General features: G+C 47.4%; 1 pseudogene across 1 annotated transcript, besides 1 other annotated feature; it reads left to right on the forward strand.

Annotated features, from left to right (window-relative positions):
- Positions 7,789 to 8,083: a silencer, noted in NCBI's record as "tiled region #5702; K562 Repressive DNase matched - State 14:Gen5'". NCBI's record gives its function as "represses a minimal TATA promoter and a strong SV40 promoter by Sharpr-MPRA in K562 cells {active_cell/tissue: K562}" and the evidence as "EXISTENCE:reporter gene assay evidence [ECO:0000049][PMID:27701403]".
- On the forward strand, positions 12,276 to 19,639 carry TCAM1P (testicular cell adhesion molecule 1, pseudogene; annotated as a pseudogene). Its single transcript, NR_002947.2, has 6 exons — positions 12,276 to 12,683; positions 14,564 to 14,884; positions 15,134 to 15,556; positions 15,948 to 16,214; positions 17,549 to 17,791; positions 17,985 to 19,639. The product of NR_002947.2 is annotated as a testicular cell adhesion molecule 1, pseudogene (transcript).
- The last annotated feature ends 781 nt before the right edge of the window (positions 19,640 to 20,420 follow it).

The raw sequence follows: 20,420 nt of genomic DNA on the forward strand, positions 1-20,420 counted from the left end.
AGTGGGTCGCATCAGAAAACACAAGATTTTTTCTACCCTAGAAAAGGGGCAAGCTAATAAGTGCATTTAAAAGCAGATCAGCTGGGTGGAGTGGCTCACACCTGTAATCCCAGCACTTTGGGAGGCCAAGGTGAGTGGATCACTTGAAGTCAGGAGTTCGAGACCAGTCTGGCCAAGATGGTGAAACCATGTCTCTACTAAAAATATAAAAATTAGCTGGGCGTGGTGGTGCACACCTGTAATCCCAGCTACTCAGGAGGCTGAGGCACGAGAATTGCTTGAACCCAAGAGGCAGTGGTTGCAGTGAGCAGAGATCGTGCCACTGCACTCCAGCCTGGGTGACAGAGTAAGACACTGTCTCAATAATAATAAAGCAGATCAAACGGTTAAATATAACTCAGTTCCTGTCAATCCCTTGTTTAAAACCCTCCCCAGCTCCCCATTGCTCTTAGATTGAATGTCACACTCCCTCCTGTGACATTTAAGGCTCTGCAGGACCTGGTCCCTGCTTACCTCCTTGGGTTCATTTTAAATCACTGCCTTTGGCTCTCCAAGCATTGGCCCAGATGGTCTCCTTGCAGTTTTTCAAACTACCCATCCCCTTCCCATCTCAGAGCCTCTCTGTTCTCTCACACCCTACTTCCCACCAAGTGATTATCACAGTACATCATTACTTAAGTGTGTGCTGATTTACTGTCTGATGTGGCTCACCCACTAAAATATAAACTCTACGAAGGCAGGATCTTTTTCTCTCTCAATTTATCTTTTTATTTTAAAATTTGTATTTTTTTAAGACAGTGATTTGCTAGGTTGCCCAGGCTGGCCTCAAACCCCTGGGCTCAAGTGATAGTTCCTGAATAGCTGAGTAGGTATACACCACACCTGGCTATTTTTTTAAATTGAAGTGAGATTTACGTAATAAAATTAACTGTTTGAAATTGCACAATTCAGTGGTATATATTACATTCACAATGTTGTGCAACACCTCCTCTACCTAGGTCCAAAATTTTGGGGTCCAAAATAATGACCCCAAAAGAAAACTCCATCCTCATTAGAAGTTGCTCCTCATTTCTTCCTCTTCCCAACTTCTGGCACCCACCAATCTGGGTTCTGTCTCTAGATTTATCTATTCTGGATACTTCATATAAATGGAATCATAATAGGTGGGTGTTGGGCATGGCTTCCTTCACTTAGCATAATGTTTTTGAGGTTCATCCATTTTGTAGCATGTATCAGTACTTCCTTTCTTCTTATGGCTGAATAATATTCCATTGTATGTATATAACACAATGTGTTCATCTGTTTGTCTTTGTATTTATTTGTTTATGACAGCATCTCGCTGTGTTGCCCAGGCTGATTTCAAACTCCTTAGCTCAAGTGATCCTCCTGCCTTGGCCTCCCAGAGTGCTAGGATTATAGGCATGAACCACCATGCCTGGCCCTATCCATTTATCTGTTGATGCGCAGTAGGGCTACTTCTACTTCTTGGCTATTCCAAGTAGTGCTGCTATGAATATATATTTGTATTTGAGTACCTGTTTTCAGTTATTTGGGGTATATACTGTGTCTCCCTTGATCCCTGTTGTAACTTAACAAATATGTATGAACAGACAATGTTTGAGTGTAGTGGGAGGGAATGATAAACAATAATATAATATCAGTTAATATCAGATATATCAGATAATATAAACAATGAGTTAACTGTGTTATGATAAAATATCCTTAAGGTGTTAGGGAGCAAATAGAGATATCTGAGGCATGGTAGAGATAAAAGGAAGATTTCCTACACAGTAGGCAGAGAATAGGTAACATTTACTGAGCATTTTCTACGTGAATTAGCTCATTTAATCATCACAACACATAGGAGGTAGATACCATATATGAGGTACACACTATTTTTACCTCTTTTTTTTTTTTTAAAGAGTTGGGGTCTCACTCTGTTGCCCAGGCTAGAGTGCAGTGGCATGATCATAGCTTGACTAATGGGGCCTCAAACTCCTGGGCTCAAGCAATCCTCCAACCTCTAAAAACTCCCGAGTACCTGGGACTACAGACACCAGCCTCTATGCCTGGCTCTATCTCTGTTTGAGAAATCAAAGCATGGAGATCCAGTCACTTGCCCACCCTCACTGTGATGGTGCTAGGATTCATCAAACCTGTTTCTGATCTGGCTCTAGAATCCAGTCTAGGGACTAACCATTACTTACCACCGATTTTTGGTAGCTGTGTGTCTGGTCTGTTATTACTTGCAAAGAAACTGTTAAAACTGAAAAGTGAGGCTGGGCAGGTGACTCATCCAGCACTTTGGGAGCTGAGGTGGGAGGATTGCTTGAGGGGTTCAAGACCAGACCAGGCAACATGGTGAGACCCTGTCTCTACAAGAAAATGAAAAAATTTGCAGAGTGTGATGGTGGGTGCCTGTGGTCCCAGCTACTTGGGAGGCTGAGGCAGGAGGATCACTTAAGCCCAGGAGTTTGAGGCTGCAGTGAGCTCTGATCATGCCACTGCACTCCAGCTAGGGCTACAGAGTGAGATGTTGTGTCTGGAAAACACAAAAACAAAAAACTGAAATGCAAGTGTCATAGACACTCAGAGAAAAAGAAGTTGATTGATAGGCCCTGATTAATCGAAGTTTCCTGGAACACTTTGAAGTGGAGGCAATATTCCCCTGCCTTTGTTCCCTCAGCTTGGAATGTCTGTTTCTCTTCCTCCCTTGATACTTATTCTGCTCAGTGCCCACTTTTCATGGACTTCATTCAACAACTTTTATTGAGCCCTTGTATGGTCCCAGGCTTACAGTTTAGAGGAGGGACTTTCCTATAACCTTGAGGCCCTGTTAACATCTACAGATACTCAAAGAGACTAAATGGAACTAAAAAGTATTTAACAAACTATTTAATAATAAAGTATTTAATACAACCAGAGCCAATGGGACAATTCCCAGCACAGACTCTGGGAATTTTGGCTCCTTGCCCAGCTGCATGAAAGTAGCACCCACCAAGTAGCTTGGAGAAAGGCCCTTGGAGCAAGGTGGCCCAGTGCTTGCCCTAGAGCAGGCCAGCAAAGGAACATTCCTCAGTATGGATGTCCTTCAGGGGGTTGGAATTTCATGAGAAGCAATGTGGATAGTCTGGTCATGGTGGGAAATGTTTACCAAGATGGCAGCACTGGCGGAGCTGTATCAGAGCCTGTCCCAGCTGGAGCACCCCGGCAGCTAAGTGTCCATCTCCCACATGGATGCAGAGTAGGGAGAGGAAGGGACAGTCAGGGCAGCAGAAGGACTGGATGCCAAGATAATGTAGCAGGTGCTGTACGCAGCATTTGAGAAGCATTTATTGAGCAACTTCTATGTGCCAGTCCCTGACATATGCTGGTAAAGAAGATAAATGCATAAACAGGTCATTTCCCCACATGACAACTGCTAAGATAAAAGTATTCACAAGGTACCATGGGGAAACAAGGAGGCCTTTAATGAGGGAAAGGGATTAATGAAGACTTCTTGGAGGAGGTAACAGGTGAGTTAAGCAAAGAAGACACAGTAAGAGTCAAAGGCATGAAGCTGTACAGGATGAGGAGAATCAGAGTGAGAGTTGCCAGATCACTGAATGTAAGGGAGAGCTCCTCTTCTGTGAGCACATTGTGGTCACAGTTCTCAACACACATACTGTCACAGCACAGTCTAGCGGTAAAATGCCTGAAGAGTACAGACTTGCAGTGAGCAGAGATCGCGCCACTGCACTCCAGCAGTGCAGATATCAGCATATAAGAAGTGGGCTTTGGGCCGGGCGCAGTGGCTCATGCCTGTAATCCCAAGACGGATCACCTGAGGTCAGGAGTTTGAGACCAGCCTGACCAACGTGGTGAAACCACGTCTCTACTAAAATTACAAAAATTAGTTGGACGTGGTGGCGCATGCCTGTAGTCCCAGCTACTCGGGAGGCTGAGGCAGGAGAATCGCTTGAACCCAGGAGGCAGAGGTTGCAGTGGGCTGAGATCGTGCCACTGCAGGCCAGCCTGGCGACAGAGCGAGACTCTGTTTCAAAACAAAAAAACAAGACTTTTTGCAAATTATCCATTGTCAAAACTCCGCCAAATACATCTCCCAGCCCGCCAGGGAGCAGCCAGCAGAGGCCGCAAGCTCGGCCAAGCGAGCCGGGATGTCCAAGGCGGGAACGTGGCTTCGCGCGCAACTCTCTGAGACGCGGGCCGGCTCACGTGTCCGGGCCGCACCACGAAAACAACAGCCACAGGGGAGAACAACCTCTTGTTTTCCTCATACAGCCGAGCTTTGCTGCAAACGATCCCTTTCCTTTTGTTTCCACATTGCGTTATTCAGAAGTGGTTATGCGGCGCCAAACACGCGCTTTCTGCCCCACAGGTTTCAGCCTTCCCCACCCTCATCTTCCCCGCGCTCCCCTCCCGTCGTTGTAGCTTCCTGCTCGCCCCTCTCATCTCAGCCAACCCTGCTGAGCTTTCGCGTGGGCGTCACGAGTTTCTAGGCAGATCAGGAAAACCGCTCTCCGGCCGCACCCTCGCGCGCCCCCGCCTGGCGGTGTAGAACAAACGGTCTGAGCGCTTGGCGGGCGACTGAGAGCGGAGCGGGCGAGGCCGAGGAGCGGAGGCTGAAGCCGTGAGGAGCGGCCCGGCGAGGGCGAGGGGCGTGCGAGCGGGCGGCCGCGGCTCGGTGAGGATTTCGGTCGTGTTTTCCTTGGCCGTCGCCGGAAGCCCGGAGAAGCCGGGTGGAACTGCCTTTTGAACGCGTTCTCACGTGTGTTAGGGATCGTCCTCCTGGAAGAGCCTTGATGGCCACGCGGTGTCCTCGCCCCTCTCTCCGCTGGACCCGAGGCCCCTTGCCAGCAAGAGCTGGCCTGGTGTCCGGTATCCACGTGGGGGGCAGTGGCCCTCACACAAGGATTGGTACCCATCTATCTAGTGCGTTGGTTCGTGCATTCACTTGTTCCTTTGTGGTCGTTGAACGCCTGTAACGTTCCAGGTGCTTGGGATCCATGAGTGAATAAAACCAAGGGCCCTGCCTTCCTTGGGACTTACAGTCCAGGGGAGACAGAGCCGCTGATTTCAGGTCTCATCAGTAAGTGACAGGGTGTTAGAGGGCGATAGTGCTGCGGAAGGGAAAGCGGTAGGCATGCGGGGGGTGCTGCGGTGAGGGGCGTGGGCAGGGAGGGCTGGGAAGCCCGAGGTCAGCGCAGGCCACATTACAAAGAGACTGAACTGGATAGAGGAGTGTTTGGGGAGAAGGAAGATAATTCCAGGCTGATGGACGAGAGAGTGCAGAGGCCCAGTGTGACTTGTATTTATAAGGAACAGCGGCCGGGCATGGTGGTTCACGCCTGTAATCCCAGCATTTTGGGAGGTCAAGGTGGGCGGATCACTTGAGGTCAGGGGTTCGAGACCAGCCTGGCCAACACGGTGAAACCCTATCTCTACCAAAACTACAAAAATTAGCCAGGCAAGGTGGTGCGTGCCTGTAATTCCAGCTACTTGGGAGGCTGAGGCAGGAGAATCGCTTGAATCCGGGAGGCGGAGGTTGCAGTGAGCGGAGATGGGGCCATTGCACTCCAGTCTGGGCAACAAGAGCAAACTCCGTCTCAAAAAAAAAAAAAAAAAAAGGAAAGAAAGAAGAGAAAAGATAGAAAACAGCAAGAAACCCTTGAATATGAAAATATGAATGGAAGGCAAGAAAGAAAGAAGGAGGGAGGGAAGGGAGGGAGGGAGGGAAGGAAGGAAGGAGGCAGGGAGGGAAGGGAGAGGGAGAGAGGGAGGGAGGAAGGAAGGAAGGGAGGAGGGAGGGAGGGAGGAAGGAAGGGCAGCAAGAAACCACTGACTATGAATGGAAGGCGAGAATCCCAGACTTGGACGCGAAGTTTAGTTCACACGCGCGGCCAAAGCAATCCAACAGCATGCGTCCCCACCCTCCTCTCACTGCCTACCCCTCTCCTGCAAAAGACCTCCCAGTGACTGGAGTGCAGGCCAAGACTTTCAGACAGTTTAAACCATTTTTTTTTTTTGAGACAGAGTTTCGCTCTGGAATGCAGTGGCGCAGTCTTGGCTCACTGCAACCTCTGCCTCCCAGGTTCAAGCAATTCTCCTGCCTCAGCCTCCTGAGTAGCTGGAATTACAGGCGCCCACCACCACGTCCAGCTAATTTTTGTATTTTTAGTAGAGACAGTGTTTCACCATGTTGGCCAGGCTGGTCTTGAATTCCTGACCTCAGGTAATCTGCCTGCCTCGGCCTCCCAAAGTCCTGGGATTACAGGCATGAGCCACCGCTCCCAGCCTCAGTTTAAATTTCTAATTTGGGATATAATCCACAGAATAAGCAAAAGGAATTCCAAAATAAATTAAAAATAATTTCTCCTTGGGGTTACTGCTTTCTTTCTCCTTAGCAAGATAAATACAAAATTTTGTGTTTCAGAACCTGATCATAATGTGCTATGTGAAAACAAGGATGAAAGATTGGAGCTATGGGGATAGTGGGGTGAGGGCAGGGCATGAAACAACAAAGAACAAAGTATGTGTCTGTATATGGGTATGAAAACAAAAACAACTCGCCCAGGACTGTTTTTTCTTAAGACTCTTTACAGGCATAGAGATAATACTAGTAGCAACTACAAAGAAAAACCGATTAGCTTGGCTTATAGTAATGAGCAATGGGAATTTTTTTTTTTTCGTTTTTTTGCTAAGACTGTAAAAGCAGAACATAGTCTCTGAGATAAACTGACAGCAGTGCAGCCGGGCATGGTGGCTCACGCCTGTAATCCCAGCACTTTGGGAGGCCGAGGTGGGTGGATCATGAGGTCAGGAGATCAAGACAATCCTGGCTAACACAGGGAAACCTCATCTCTCTAAAAATACAAACAAAATTAGCTGGGCGGGGTGGCACATGCCTGTAGTCCCAGCTCCTCAGGAGGCTGAGGCAGAATCGCTTGAACCAGGGAGGTGGAGGTTGCAGTGAGCAGAGATTGCACCACTGCACTCCAGCCTGGGCGACAGAGCAAGACTCTGTCGCAAAAAAAAAAAAAAATTGACAGCAGTGCTAGGCTATGTAGCAGAAGGTAACATCAGGTCAGGTGCAGTGGCTCACACCTGTAATCCCAGCATTTTGGAATGCCTAGATGGGAGGACTGCTTGAACCCAGGAGTCTGAGGCTGCGGTGAGCTATGATCACACCACTGCACTCTAGCCTGGATAACTGAGTGAGACCCCATCTCAGGAAAAAAAAAAAAAAAAAAAGAGGCCGGGCGCGGTGGCTCACACCTGTAATCCCAGCACTTTGGGAGGCCGAGGCAGGCCGTTCACAAGGTCAGGAGATCAAGACCATCCTGGCGAACATCGTGAAACCCCATTCTACTAAAAATACAAAAAATTAGCCGGGTGTGGTGGTGGGCACCTGTAGTCCCAGCTACTTGGGAGGCTGAGGCAGGAGAATGGCGTGAACCCGGGAGGCGGAGCTTGCAGTGAGCGGAGATTGCGCCATTGCACTCCAGCCTGGGCGACAGAGTGAGACTTCGTCTCAAAAAAAAAAAAAAAAAAACCATCAACAACAACAAAAAAAGAACGTAACATCAGCAAGCTACAGAGAAGAGTAAAGCAGGAGTTCTTGGATTAATCTCTAAGAGGAATTGTTTGTGACACTGTGGCCCCATTAAAGCACAAATAATCTGGATTCATGTTATAGATTTAAACATCATAAGACCTACACATTGGAGAGTGTAACTGCTGGATTAGTTCTAACTGGTTCTACTCCGCTAATAATGGGGTATCAAGTTATTTTACCGGCACAGAGCCAAGAAGTTGCAAGTCATTACAGTCAGAACATGTGCAGAAAGGGAGACTTTAACCTCAAATAACCCGGGAACTAAAGTCTTGCCCCTCAACAGAACCAAAAGATTGGGACATGGCTGGAATATGAGCACAGGAACACTTTCAAAAGCAACGGGTCCAAGCCCAGGAACGTCCAGTGATAAGACCCTTTACCATATCTTACCATAAGTGGTACTGTTTGAAGTCCTTCGGATCAAAACCTGTCCTGCCAGCACTTCCACCTATGCCCGTGTCCTCCCTCACACTTAAAATTTGTTCCAGACTCCAGATTGAAGAGACATATTTGAGCCTGTCTTCTTGCTCAGCCACCTTGCAATAAAAAGTCTGGTGCTTCAGTGTTTGGCTTTACATTGCACGTGGACAGACCGACCTGGTTTGGTTCGGTAACAAAGAGGAGAGCTTGCTTTATTTATTTATTTATTTATTTATGACAAGGTCTTCCTCTGTTGCCCAGGCTGGGAGTACAGAGGTGTGGTCATGGCTCACTGCAGCCTCAAACTCTTTGGCTCAAGTGATCCTCCCACCTCAGCCTCACAGGTAGCTAGCACTACAGGTGAGCATAACCACACCTGGCTAATTCTTTAATTTTTTTGTAGAGACAGGGGTCTTGCTATGTTGCCTAGGTTGCTCTCAAACCAGTGGGCTCAAGCAATTCTCCCACTTTGGTGTCCCAAAATGCTGGGATTATAGGCATGAGTCACCGCACCCAGCTTAATTTTTCTTATATGGCTTAAAAGCCAGTTCTAAATTACTTTCAGGCTGGGCATGGTGGCTTATGCCTGTAATCCCAGAACCTTGGGAGGCTTAGGTGTAAGGATCACTGGAGGCCAGTAGTTCAAGATTAGCCTGGACAACATAGTGAGACCCCTGTCTCTACAAAAACATTAATAAAAAAATTATCTGGGTGTGGTGGTGTGTGCTTGTAGTCCCTGCGACTCAAGAGACTGAGGTGGGAGGATTGCTTGAGCCCAGGAATTTGAGGCTGCAGCAAGCTGTGATCATACCACTGCACTTCAGCCTGGGCAACAAAGCAAGACCCTGTCTCAATATATAAATAAATAATTTCAAAAAAGGTTTTGAATAATTGTGTCATCCTGGAAAAAGATGATAGCCTTCCAAAGTGGTTATTTTGAAGGGTAACCTTCACTTGGGAGTATAAATTTTCATATGCCTGTTATCCCTGTATTAAAAAAAAAAACTCTTTCAGACCAGCATAGAAGTGGAGTTAGACCTGTTCCAAACCCACTGTATGAAAATTAAATACAAAATTGGAGGGTAGTCCTTCATTTATGGAATACCCAGAATATCATAGGCTCTGTGCTAGGTGCTGGAGACACAAGATAAGTACACTAGAGCCTCTTACCCTCAAGGAATTTCTAGTATAGTGATGATTACATCACTGAAATAATTCACCAAAGTGAACTAATATATGCAACTTCAGAAATCTTGTTTGGCATAAAGTGAGGTAGAGATCATGTATAACAAGTAAGGGACTGTGAAGTGGGATAAGGCTAGTCAAGAAGCCTTTCTTAGAAGAAATTAGCTTGAATGAGTTTTTGTTTTGTTTTATTTTTTTGAGATGGAGTCTCACTCTGTCACCCAGGCTGGAGTGCAGTCGCATGATCTCGGCTCACTGCAACCTCCGCCTCCTGAGTTCAAGTGATTCTCCCGCCTCAGCCTCCCGAGTAGCTGGGATTATAGGCACCCACCACCACGCCCGACTAATTTTGTATTTTTTTAGTAGAGACGGGGTTTCACCATGTTGGCCAGGCTGGCCTGAAACTCCTACCTCAGGTGATCCACCCGCCTCAGCCTCCCAAAGTGCTGGGATTACAAGTATGAGCCACCGTGCCCAGTCTAAACTCAGTTTTTCATGTTTCCATGCCAGCACCCTTCTATTGACTCAGTCTAATAGATGGAGGCAAACTAGTAAAAAGGTAAGTAGAATACAACTTATACAGGAATCTTGATAATATCGCCTCATCCTTTTTCATATTTTCCCCCATGTTTTTGCTATGCACATAAGCTAAACTGAAATAAATAGATATAAGACATTCTTTTAGTACACCTTCACTGCTGATGTTTTTGCTGTAATTTTTCTAGACTAGTGAGGTTTCAGAAAAAGGGACTGAGTTTTAATATCAAATAAGCAATTTTCCTTATATATATATTTTTGGTCACTTTCTCCAGCATTGCTGTCTTTTTCTCTCCAGCCTTTGGCCCTTCTTATCAGGATGAAAACGCTTCTGTTTGGTGTCTGGACCCTGCTGGCCTTGATCCTTTGCCCAGGTGAGGCTATTCGGGAAAGCTTTTTAAACCAGTATGTGTCAGGACACAGGTAGCTGGTCAGTGAGGAAGGGGGTGGGGAGTCCTGAGTGGGGTGACACTTCAGTGTTCATTCATCTGGACCCGGGGGAAAGATTCCTGTCTCTTGGATCACTAGGACACAGAATCGTTACGGTCTCTGGCTTGTATTTGGGATAACACTAGTTAATAGACTATCAGAGAGGACTCTCCCTAGGAAACATGCCTTCTCCGCTTGGTTCCCTTCTGCCCCAGGACTGCCCTGTGTTTCTCCTCTTGAGAATGTTTTTACTTCTTTGTTGCCACCGTTTGTGTCATGATGAACTATAATAGGCTCTTGGTAGGACAGGACCCATACATAGCTCAGGTACAGAAAGTGAGTTCTCCTGATGACGGGAAAGGAACAGGGGCCTTAGCAGGTAACATTGCTACAAGAGCTGTGTATTCCCAGAGGGGACTGGTATTGGGAGGTGAAGTAGATGGTAGATATGGACTAGCTAAAGAGGACCTGTAGAGAAGCCTTCAGGACTTCCTGAAGTCTCCGTGCCCTTTACCTACATCAGGCATCTAAAATCCATCCGAGGCCAGGCGTGGTGGCTTGGCCAGGCACAGTGGCTCATGCCTATAATCCCAGCACTTTGGGAGGCTGAGGCAGGCGGATCACCCAAAGTCACGAGTTCGAGACCAGCCTGACCAACATGGTGAAACCCCGTCTCTACTAAAATTAGCCGGGCGTGGTGGCATGCACCTGTAATCCCAGCTACTTGGGAGGCTGAGGCAGGAGAATCACTTGAACATGGGAGGCGGAGGTTGCAGTGAGCCGAGATCGTGCCATTGCACTCCAGCCTGGGCAAAAAGAGTGAAACTCTGTCTCAAAAATAAAATAAAATAAAGTAAAATAAAATAAAAATCCATCTGACATCTCCCATTGCATCAGAGAAGATTTCCAGAACAGACGAAATTTGTAAGCATCCAAAACATCCATTCCCTTAGCGCCAAATCAAAATGGAATGGTCTCACTCTGAGAAGAGGCATAAAGAAGAGGCATGGAAAATGAGTGACCCTGGGAGTTACCTGCAGGCCAATGGATCTGAGAATTTGGTGTGCATAAGGGTCCCCGGGAGGCTTGTTTTATTCCTTAGCATATTTTCAGGTCCCACCTTCACAGGTTTGAAACCATGCGCTCTGAGGTGGAGTTGGAGTCTGCAGTTTACAAGCATTTAGGATGATTCTGGCAAAGGGAATCCTTAGCCATAATTTGAGAGAGACACTGCTTTCAGGGATAAGTAATGAAGTTCGAATCCTGTGAGGGTCCACAGCAGCCTATTATGGGGAGCTTTCAAGAATTCTGAAAGTTTAGGAAGATATTGGTTTCCTGGGCATAATTTTTTTTAGCAACTCCATAATTTCCATGGTGATACTAATAGAGAATTCAAGTTCTCAAGAAAGATGATAGGTGGAGGGAATAGTGGTGAAATCAGAGCTAACTTGTTAACTACAGTTTTTTTTTGTTTGTTTGTTTGAGACGGAGTTTCACTCTTGTTGCCCAGGATGGAGTGCAATGGCACAATCTCAACTCACTGCAACCTCTGCCTCCTGGGTTCAAGTGATTCTCTGCCTCAGCCTCCTGAGTAGCTGGGATTACAGGCACGCATCACCATGCCTGGCTAATTTTGTATTTTTAGTAGAGACGGGGTTTCTCCATATTGGTCAGGCTGGTCTCTAACTTCCAACCTCGGGTGATCCGCCCACCTTGGCCTCCCAAAGTGGGGAGGATTACAGGCGTGAACCACCCCGCCCGGCCAATTACAGGTCTTTTGTCCTGTCTGGTTGTCTGAACCTTTTTTTTCAGGGCAGGTTTCCTGTTCTCTAACCTGGAACTAGATAGAATAGGTTCTGTATTTATTTGGGTCTCGTGGTCCTCACCAGAGTCATTGGCATATGTGGTTCATTTTTTTTTTTTTTTTTTTTTGAGATGGAGTCCTGCTCTGTTGCCAGGCTGGAGTGCAGTGGCACAATCCCGGCTCACTGCAACCTCTGCCTCCTGGGTTCAAGCGATTCTCCTGCCTCAGCCTCCCGAGTAGCTGGGATTACAGGCGTGCGCCACTACACCCAGCTTATTTTAGTACTTTTAATAGAGACGGGGTTTCATCATGTTGGCCAGGATGGTCTTGATCTCTTGACCTTGTGATCCGCCCGCCTCGGCCTCCCAAAGTGCTGGGATTACAGGCGTGAGCCACCGCGCCTGGCCGATGTGGTTCATATTTCAGGGGTCCCGGAAGAGTTGTTTGAGGTTTCTATTTGGCCAAGTCAGGCCCTGGTGGAGTTTGGACAGTCCCTAGTGGTCAACTGCAGCACTACTTGCCCAGACCCAGGACCCAGTGGAATTGAGACCTTCTTAAAGAAAACTCAGGTGGGCAAAGGGCCTCAGTGGAAAGAGTTTCTTCTGGAGGATGTCACAGAGAATTCCATCCTGCAGTGCTTCTTCTCTTGTGCAGGGATTCAAAAGGACACAAGCCTTGGCATCACTGTGTATTGTGAGTAGGGCTGAGGGCTGGGGGCAGGGGGATGGAAAGGAGGAATGGGGAAACATGAACATGTCTTATTTAGGGAAGGATGGGACAAATGTTTCTAATTAGGGGAGATAATTAAGGCCCTTAATAAAGATTTCTGGCATACTGTAGGGATTCTAGATCCAATCACCTTTTTCATTTATTTTTTTTTTTTTGAGATGGAATCTTGCTCTATTGCTCAGGCTAGAGTGCAGTGGTGTGATCTCAGCTAACTGCAGCCTCCACCTGGGTTCAAGCAATTCTCCTGCCTCAGCCTCCCCAGTAGCTGGGACTACAGGCAGCCACCACCATGCCTGGCTAATTTTTGTATTTTTTTTAGTAGAGACAGGGGTTTCACCATGTTGGCCAGGCTGGTCTTGAACTCCTGACCTGAAGTGATCTATCTGCCTCAGCCTCCCAAAGTGCTGGGATTACAGGTGTGAGCCACCTCAAGTCCAGCAAGTAGAAGTGAGCCGGGCCCACTTCTACTTCCCTTTGATGTAGGCTTTCTTCTGAGTTTTAAATTAGGAGCAGACCATAGAGAGCATCCAGATTATCTGTGCTTGAAAATATCTTCAATACAGGAAACATATGCTAATAATGTTTATGGTTAAATTACCAAAAAGTATAAGATTAGCCTGGCCACAGTGGTTCATGCTTTAATCCCAGCACTTTGGGAGGCCAAGGCAGGAGGATCACTTGAGGCCAGGAGTTTCAGACCAGCTTGAGAAACACAGTGAGACCTCTGTTTCTACAAAAGAAGTTTTTAAAATTAGCCAGGCATAGTGGCGTGCACCTGTGGTCCCAGCTACTTGGGAGGCTAAGGTGGGAGGATCCCCGGAGCCTAGAAGTTCAAGCCTGCAGTGATCTATGATCACACCACTGCACTCCAGCCTGGGCAACAGAGTGGGATCCTGTCTCTTAAAAAAAAAAAGTATGAAATTAATGCTGAATTGTTTGCTACAAGCTCTTGGAATAAACAGAGATTGGAGAGAGAAGGGTTTTTGTGAGCTGGGGCAGCCTGAGAAGGCTCCATGGTAGAGGAGGCTCCTGCACTGCCCTCCCCCAGGATAGTTAGGGTTTGAATTGAAGGGGACAGGTGAGGAAGGCCTTTCAGGTGGGCAAATAACATGGACAAAGATATGGCACGAAAGCAAATGTGGTCTCTATGGGGTCAGAACTTGGTTAGCTATAGTTTGGTTTGTTTGTTTGTTTGTTTTGAGATGGAGTCTTGCTCTGTTGCCCAGGCTGGAGTGCAGTAGCACAATCTTGGCTCACTGCAACCTCTGCCTCCCGGGTTCAAGCAATTCTCTGCCTCAGCCTCCCGAGCAGCTGGGATTACAGGCACCTGCCACCGCACCTGGCTAATTTTTGTATTTTTAGTAGAGACTGGGTTTCACCATCTTGGCCTGGCTGGTCTGGAACTCCTGACCTCAAGTGATCCGCTTGCCTTGGCCTCCCAAAGTACTGGGATTACAGGCGTGAGCCACTGCACCTGGCCTGCTACAGTATAGATTTTATGTGATGCTAAGGAGCCCCCGGAAGCTGCTCTTGCCTCTGAAGCCCCTCTGGTAAGAGATCAATGCTTTCCAGAATGGCAGCAACAGTCAAAGCAAGGGACTCTCCCTCAGCAGTCACTCTTCTTTGCTATGGCCATAGCCACTTTTGATGCGAAGAAGAAGAGCCAGAAGACTAACTCACCCCATCTAGGGCAGGGATGGCAGAAAGCTGACATTGCTGATCAGATGGTTTAAGGGTGGCAGTCACCTTCTGTGATTTGTATCACCTCATCTTTCTGTCCTATGCTGTTTCTTTCTGGAGAGGTGGGTGGCATGCTCATCAAGTCCTGCCTTTTTGTCTTAAAGAGCCACCAGAGCAAGTGATCCTGGAGCTGCAGCCTGCCTGGGTGGCTGTGGACGAAGCCTTCACAGTGAAGTGTCATGTACCCAGTGTAGCACCCTTGGAGAGTCTCACCCTTGCCCTTCTCCAGGGTAACCAAGAACTGCATAGAAAGAACTTTACGAGCTTGGCTGTGGCCTCCCAAAGAGCTGAAGTCATCATCAGTGTCAGAGCCCAAAAGGAGAATGACAGATGCAATTCTTCCTGCCATGCAGAACTGGACTTGAGTTTGCAAGGTGGGAGGCTCTTTCAAGGCAGCTCACCCATCAGAATAGTCCGGATCTTTGGTGAGTCAGAACTCAAGTGCAGGAGGAATCCTGGGGCTCATCTTGCCTTGGCCTTTGGGACTAAGTTCTCACGGGGTTTAGGGTGAGGATGTGAGAGTAACTGAGCTCCACCTTTGCTTGAGCTTTAAACTCACCCTGCGGAAGAGAGACATTTTAGCCCCACTCCCTTCCTACCTTGAAGGGTCCTGCATGATGTGTGATTTATCATGGCTTTTCTCCTTTCTCTTCTTGTCCTCATTTTTTTGGCAGAATTCTCTCAGAGTCCCCACATCTGGGTCTCTTCCCTTTTGGAGGCTGGGATGGCGGAGACTGTGAGCTGCGAGGTGGCTAGGGTGTTTCCAGCCAAAGAAGTTATGTTCCACATGTTCCTGGAAGACCAAGAGCTGAGCTCCTTCCTTTCCTGGGAGGGGGACACAGCATGGGCCAATGCTACCATTCGGACCATGGAGGCTGGTGATCAGGAACTGTCTTGCTTTGCATCTCTGGGTGCAATGGAACAGAAGACAAGAAAGCTAGTGCATAGCTACAATAAGTGGCCTGGCTCTTCCTTTTTCATACGGGTTCTCTGCTGCTGAAAACACAGAGTAACGGGTTGGTGATTCGGCTGTAGACATCCCTGCTGCCCTTTGCTGGGTATGCTCTCAAGTGAACATGAGTCTTCATCTTTCTCTGGTAAATGCAGGCAGATTGGGGACATGGGCTACAGTAGTTCTTTCCAGCCTTCATCCCCAGTTTCCTTAGGCTATCCTGCTTACAGAGTGATTGTGGATGCCCTGAACTACTTCTTAGAAACACTTATTTGAGGTGAGGAGGAAAGCTGTAAGATGAAAAGACATCTTGCAGTCCTTGCAGCGAAGCATAGCTAAATGTGTGCATGCATAAGAGAAGCTCTTGAATCCCCAAACCACCTCATTCTTTCTTCAGCTTTTACAGAAGAAGCAATGGTATCCAAAATCTTTCCCCTGTTGTCTGCCTTCCCAAGGGCTTTTACCAGCAGCAAGAGTGCAGAAGTGTCTGCTAGTTTTGAGAAATGTGTCTGGTTCTCCTTTTCCTTTCCTTATAGGCTTCCCTCCACCAATCCTGGAGCTAAAAGAATCATACCCATTGGCAGGGACCGACATTAATGTGACCTGCTCAGGGCATGTATTAACATCACCCAGCCCTACTCTTCGGCTTCAGGGAGCCCCAGACCTCCCTGCTGGGGAGCCTGCCTGGCTTCTACTTACTGCCAGGGAGGAAGATGATGGCTGAAATTTCTCCTGCGAGGCCTCTTTGGTGGTGCAGGGTCAGCGGTTGATGAAAACCACTGTGATCCAGCTCCATATCCTATGTGAGTGGAGGCCTGATCTTTCTTGTCAAAATAAGGATTATTATTTTCCCATTTCTAGAGAGCTTCTTGGCCAGCAGTGCTTCATTATTACAGTTGCCACATTTTTCTCATTAAAAAAAAAAATCAAAGGAGAAAATAAAAGGAAAGCTTTCCAAGCTTACCTTACTCCCGGGAAAGCAAGTGGGGAACCAGATGAGGGGAAATTGGGAACATAAAGGAAAGGAGTTAAAGTGATCAGGCAATATTAATTAAGGGTCGATGGCCGAGGAGAACAAAGGAAGTGATAGTGGGAGTTTATGCTGAAAAGGGAAATTTCCAAAAATTCCATATACACATTTCTATTTTGAAGAGTAGAGAAAATAGGCCAGGTGCGGTGGCTTACGCCTGTAATCCCAGCACTTTGGGAGGCTGAGGCGGGTGGATGGCTAGCGGTCAGGAGTTCAAGAGCAGCCTGACCAACATGATGAAACCCTGTCTCTACTAAAAATACAAATATTAGCCAGGCATGATCGTGGGTGCCTGTAATTCCAGCTACTCAGGAGGCTGAGGCAGGAGAATTGCTTGAAACCTGGGAGGCGGAGGTGGCAGTGAGCTGAGATCACGCCACTGCATTCTAGCCTGGATGACAAAGCGAGACTTCGTCTCAAAAAAAAAAAAAAAAAAAAAAGAAAAGAAAAAATCCTCATCTCTGAGTTCACCACTACCTAGCTCCTTACCCACTGAGAAGCAAAGATGGGAAGCAGGGGCCCCAGGGCCACCATGGACAGAGCAGGGTTATCATGTAGTCTGAATCCGTAAAAACACCCTAGGTTTTGGCGGGGCCTGGTGACTCACGCCTGTAATCCCAACACTTTGGAAGGTCAAGGCGGGCGGATCATGAGGTCAAGAGATCGAGACCATCCTGGCCAACATGGTGAAACACCATCTCTACTACAGATACAAAAATTAGCTGGGCATGGGGGCACATGCCTGTAGTCCCAGCTACTCTGGAAACTGAGGCAGGAGAATCGCTTGAACCTGGGAGGTGGAGGTTACAGTGAGCTGAGATCGCGCCACTGTACATACTCCAGCTTGGCGACAGAGCAAGACTCCATCTCAAAACAAACAAACGAACAAAAAAAACACCCTAGGTTTCATCTGGGACTCCCTACCGATAGAGAAGGTGGGAAAGAAGAGTTGGCTCAAAGCAGGGAGCTGCTAGTGCTCCCTTGGGAAGGAAAGCTGTTGGGTGGAGGGGACAGCATTTGGGTGAGGGGAGGAGAGGGAGCAGGGGGTGAAGGTAGGGAGGGAGTGTGGTGCACTGAACTCAGCTCTTTGGGAAACTGTTTTTGCAGGCAAGCCACAGTTAGAGGAATCCAGTTGCCCTGGCAAACAGACCTGGCTGGAAGGGATGGAACACACGCTCGCCTGCGTCCCAAAGGGAAACCCAGCTCCAGCCTTGGTGTGTACCTGGAATGGGGTGGTCTTTGACCTTGAAGTGCCACAGAAGGCAACCTAGAACCACACTGGAACCTACCGCTACACAGCCACTAACCAGCTGGGCTCTGTCAGCAAAGACATTGCTGTCATTGTTCAAGGTAACCTTTGCTGCCCTGCTGCCAGGCCCAGGATGGAAACCCCTCAGGAGTTTGGGATTCTTATCTAAGCATGAAAATAAGAAAGATTCTACTAGGTTGGGAAGAATGAGACTCAGAAGTGGGCCTGGTGGGCTGGGGTGGGTGATCCTTGTACTCTCAGACTTTCCTAACTCTATCTTCTGTGCTTGGGCAGGACTGGATGAAGGAATAAGCTCTACCCTCTTTGTCATTATTACCGTTGCCCTTGGAGTGGGTGTCATCACCATAGCACTGTATTTGAGCTATCGGCCCTGCAAAGTGGACAGGAGGAAATTGCTCTATAGGCAGAAAGAGGAGGACAAAGAGGAGGAAAGCCAGTTTGCTGTTCAGGAAGAGAAAAGTACAACTCATATAATTGACAACTGTTTGATTGAATGAGACTTCTGCTACTGTGGTTTCCCAGGGAGGGAAGAAGGGATAGAGGAGAAAGGAAGAAACACAATGGCAGGCTGCATTCCCCTTTGTGTACGTCTGTCCTGTAAAACGGTGTTTCAGGCCCCCATGCCCCATGTCCTGTGTGTCCAATATGTCCACAAGCTCACCATTCTCTCTCTCTCTCTCTTTTCTTTTCTTTTTCTTTTTCTTTTTTTTTTTTTTTGAGATGGAGTCTTGCTGTTGTCGCCTAGGCTGGAGTGCAATGATGCGATCCTGGCTCACTGCAACTGCAGCCTCCCGGGTTCAGGTGATTCTCCTGCCTCAGCCTCCCTGGCAGCTGGGATTACAGGTGCACACCACCATGCCTGTCTAATTTTTGTACTTTTCGTAGAGATGGGGTTTCACCATGTTGGCTGGGCTGGTCTCAAACTCCTGACCTCAAGTGATCCGGCCACCTTGGCCTCCCAAAGTGCTGGGATTACAGGTGTGAGCCACCGCGCCCAGCCACCTTTCTCTTTAGAGCTCACTCTAGTCATTAAGAATCTCAGTCTCAATGTTTGATTTGTAAGAAGGCCTCTTGCTCCTTGCCAGGTGCTTCATCAGTCCACTCTTAGATACAAAAAAAAGATCCTGCTGTTTCTTTATGGTTTCCACTGCCCTTTTCTCTTAAATATCATACTAAAGTCAGGCACATCTTAGAAATGCAACTCATATTTCATGGTTTTCTGATTACTAACTGGGAACTAAATTTGTAGTCCAGGGACAGGACTTTGAAGGGAGTAAGTATCAAATATGGGGCTAGGAATCAGAGCTCTGTTCCCATCTCCACTTTCCCTTGCTCCCCTGACCTGGGCTTCTGGAGGGCCAGCTCCCAGAGCTGAGCTTGTTGACATCATTAAGGATCAGTGGCAAGCTTCAACTCAGTAACCATCTGTTGTGGGTCTTGGGGGAGTATACAGATGGTAAGAAATTCCACTTTGGGCCAGACAAGCATCCTATCTAGCCCAGTGTTCTGTCTCTGAAGTAGAAGGTAGAGTTCTTCCATGAAATTGGCCTCATAGGTTAAGAGCTCCAAACATCTCTGAATTCCTTTTCATAGAGTGATCAACTGTGAGTTCGCATTTGTCAGTTTTTTTTTTGTACCCATGTGGGTGTCTAGGTTAGAGTTGCAATGTTTACTCTCCCTTTTCATCAATAAGGACATATTTTCTTCTGTCTGTAAGCAATTTCCTTGAAGCTTCAAGAAGAATCCTCTTGTGAAAATGTTCATATGATTTTATGATTCTGCTTCCTTCCCTGTCCTTGGGAAAGAGTATATTCACCCTCAGAGAAGGCGTGAGGAATCACCAAACCAGATCTTTTCTCCCAAATCAGTCAAGAAATGTTCACTGGAATGTTGCTATGGTAAAAATAAAAGTGGTTTTATGATGTCCAAATGCAGTTCCCTTCCCTTCTGTGTCATTGCTGAAACCTCTTATTTATTTATTTATTTATTTATTTATTTATTTTAAGACAGAGTCTTGCTCTGTCGCCCAGGCTGGAGTGCCGTGGCACGATCTCGGCTCACTGCAAGCTCCGCCTCCTGGGTTCACACCATTCTCCTGTCTCAGCCTCCCAAGTAGCTGGGACTACAGGCACATGCCACCATGCCGGGCTAATTTTTTGTATTTTTAGCAGAGACAGGGTTTCACTGTGTTAGCCAGGATGGTCTTGATCTCCTGACTTGATTCGCCCACCTGGGCCTCCCAAAGTGGCTGGATTACAGGCGTGAGCCACTGTGCCTGGCCGCTGAAAGCTCTTATTATGTCAAATGGTTGCATTTTATAACTTTTTCTTTTTTTTTTTTTAGATGGAGTCTCACTCTGTTGCCCAGGCTGGAGTGCAGTGGCGCGATTTCGGCTCACTTCAACCTCCACCTCCCAGTTTCAAGCAATTCTCTGCCTCAGCCTCCCGAGTAGCTGGGATTACAGGCACCCACCGCCATGACCAGCTAATTTTTTGTATTTTTAGTAGAGACAGGGTTTCACCATCTTGACTAGGCTAGTCTTGAAGTCCTGACCTCGCGATCCACCCACCTTGGCCTCCTAAAGTGCTGGTATTACTGGCGTGAGCCACCGCTCTTGGCTGCATTTTATAACTTTAAGTACAATTTCTAAGGAAAAAATACCGTGTTGATAGCATAAACAACCAGCTCAGGGCAGGGGGTGCATTAGCT

The sequence above is a fragment of the Homo sapiens genome, chromosome 17, assembly GCF_000001405.40.
Source record: "Homo sapiens chromosome 17, GRCh38.p14 Primary Assembly".
NCBI lineage: Eukaryota > Metazoa > Chordata > Mammalia > Primates > Hominidae > Homo > Homo sapiens.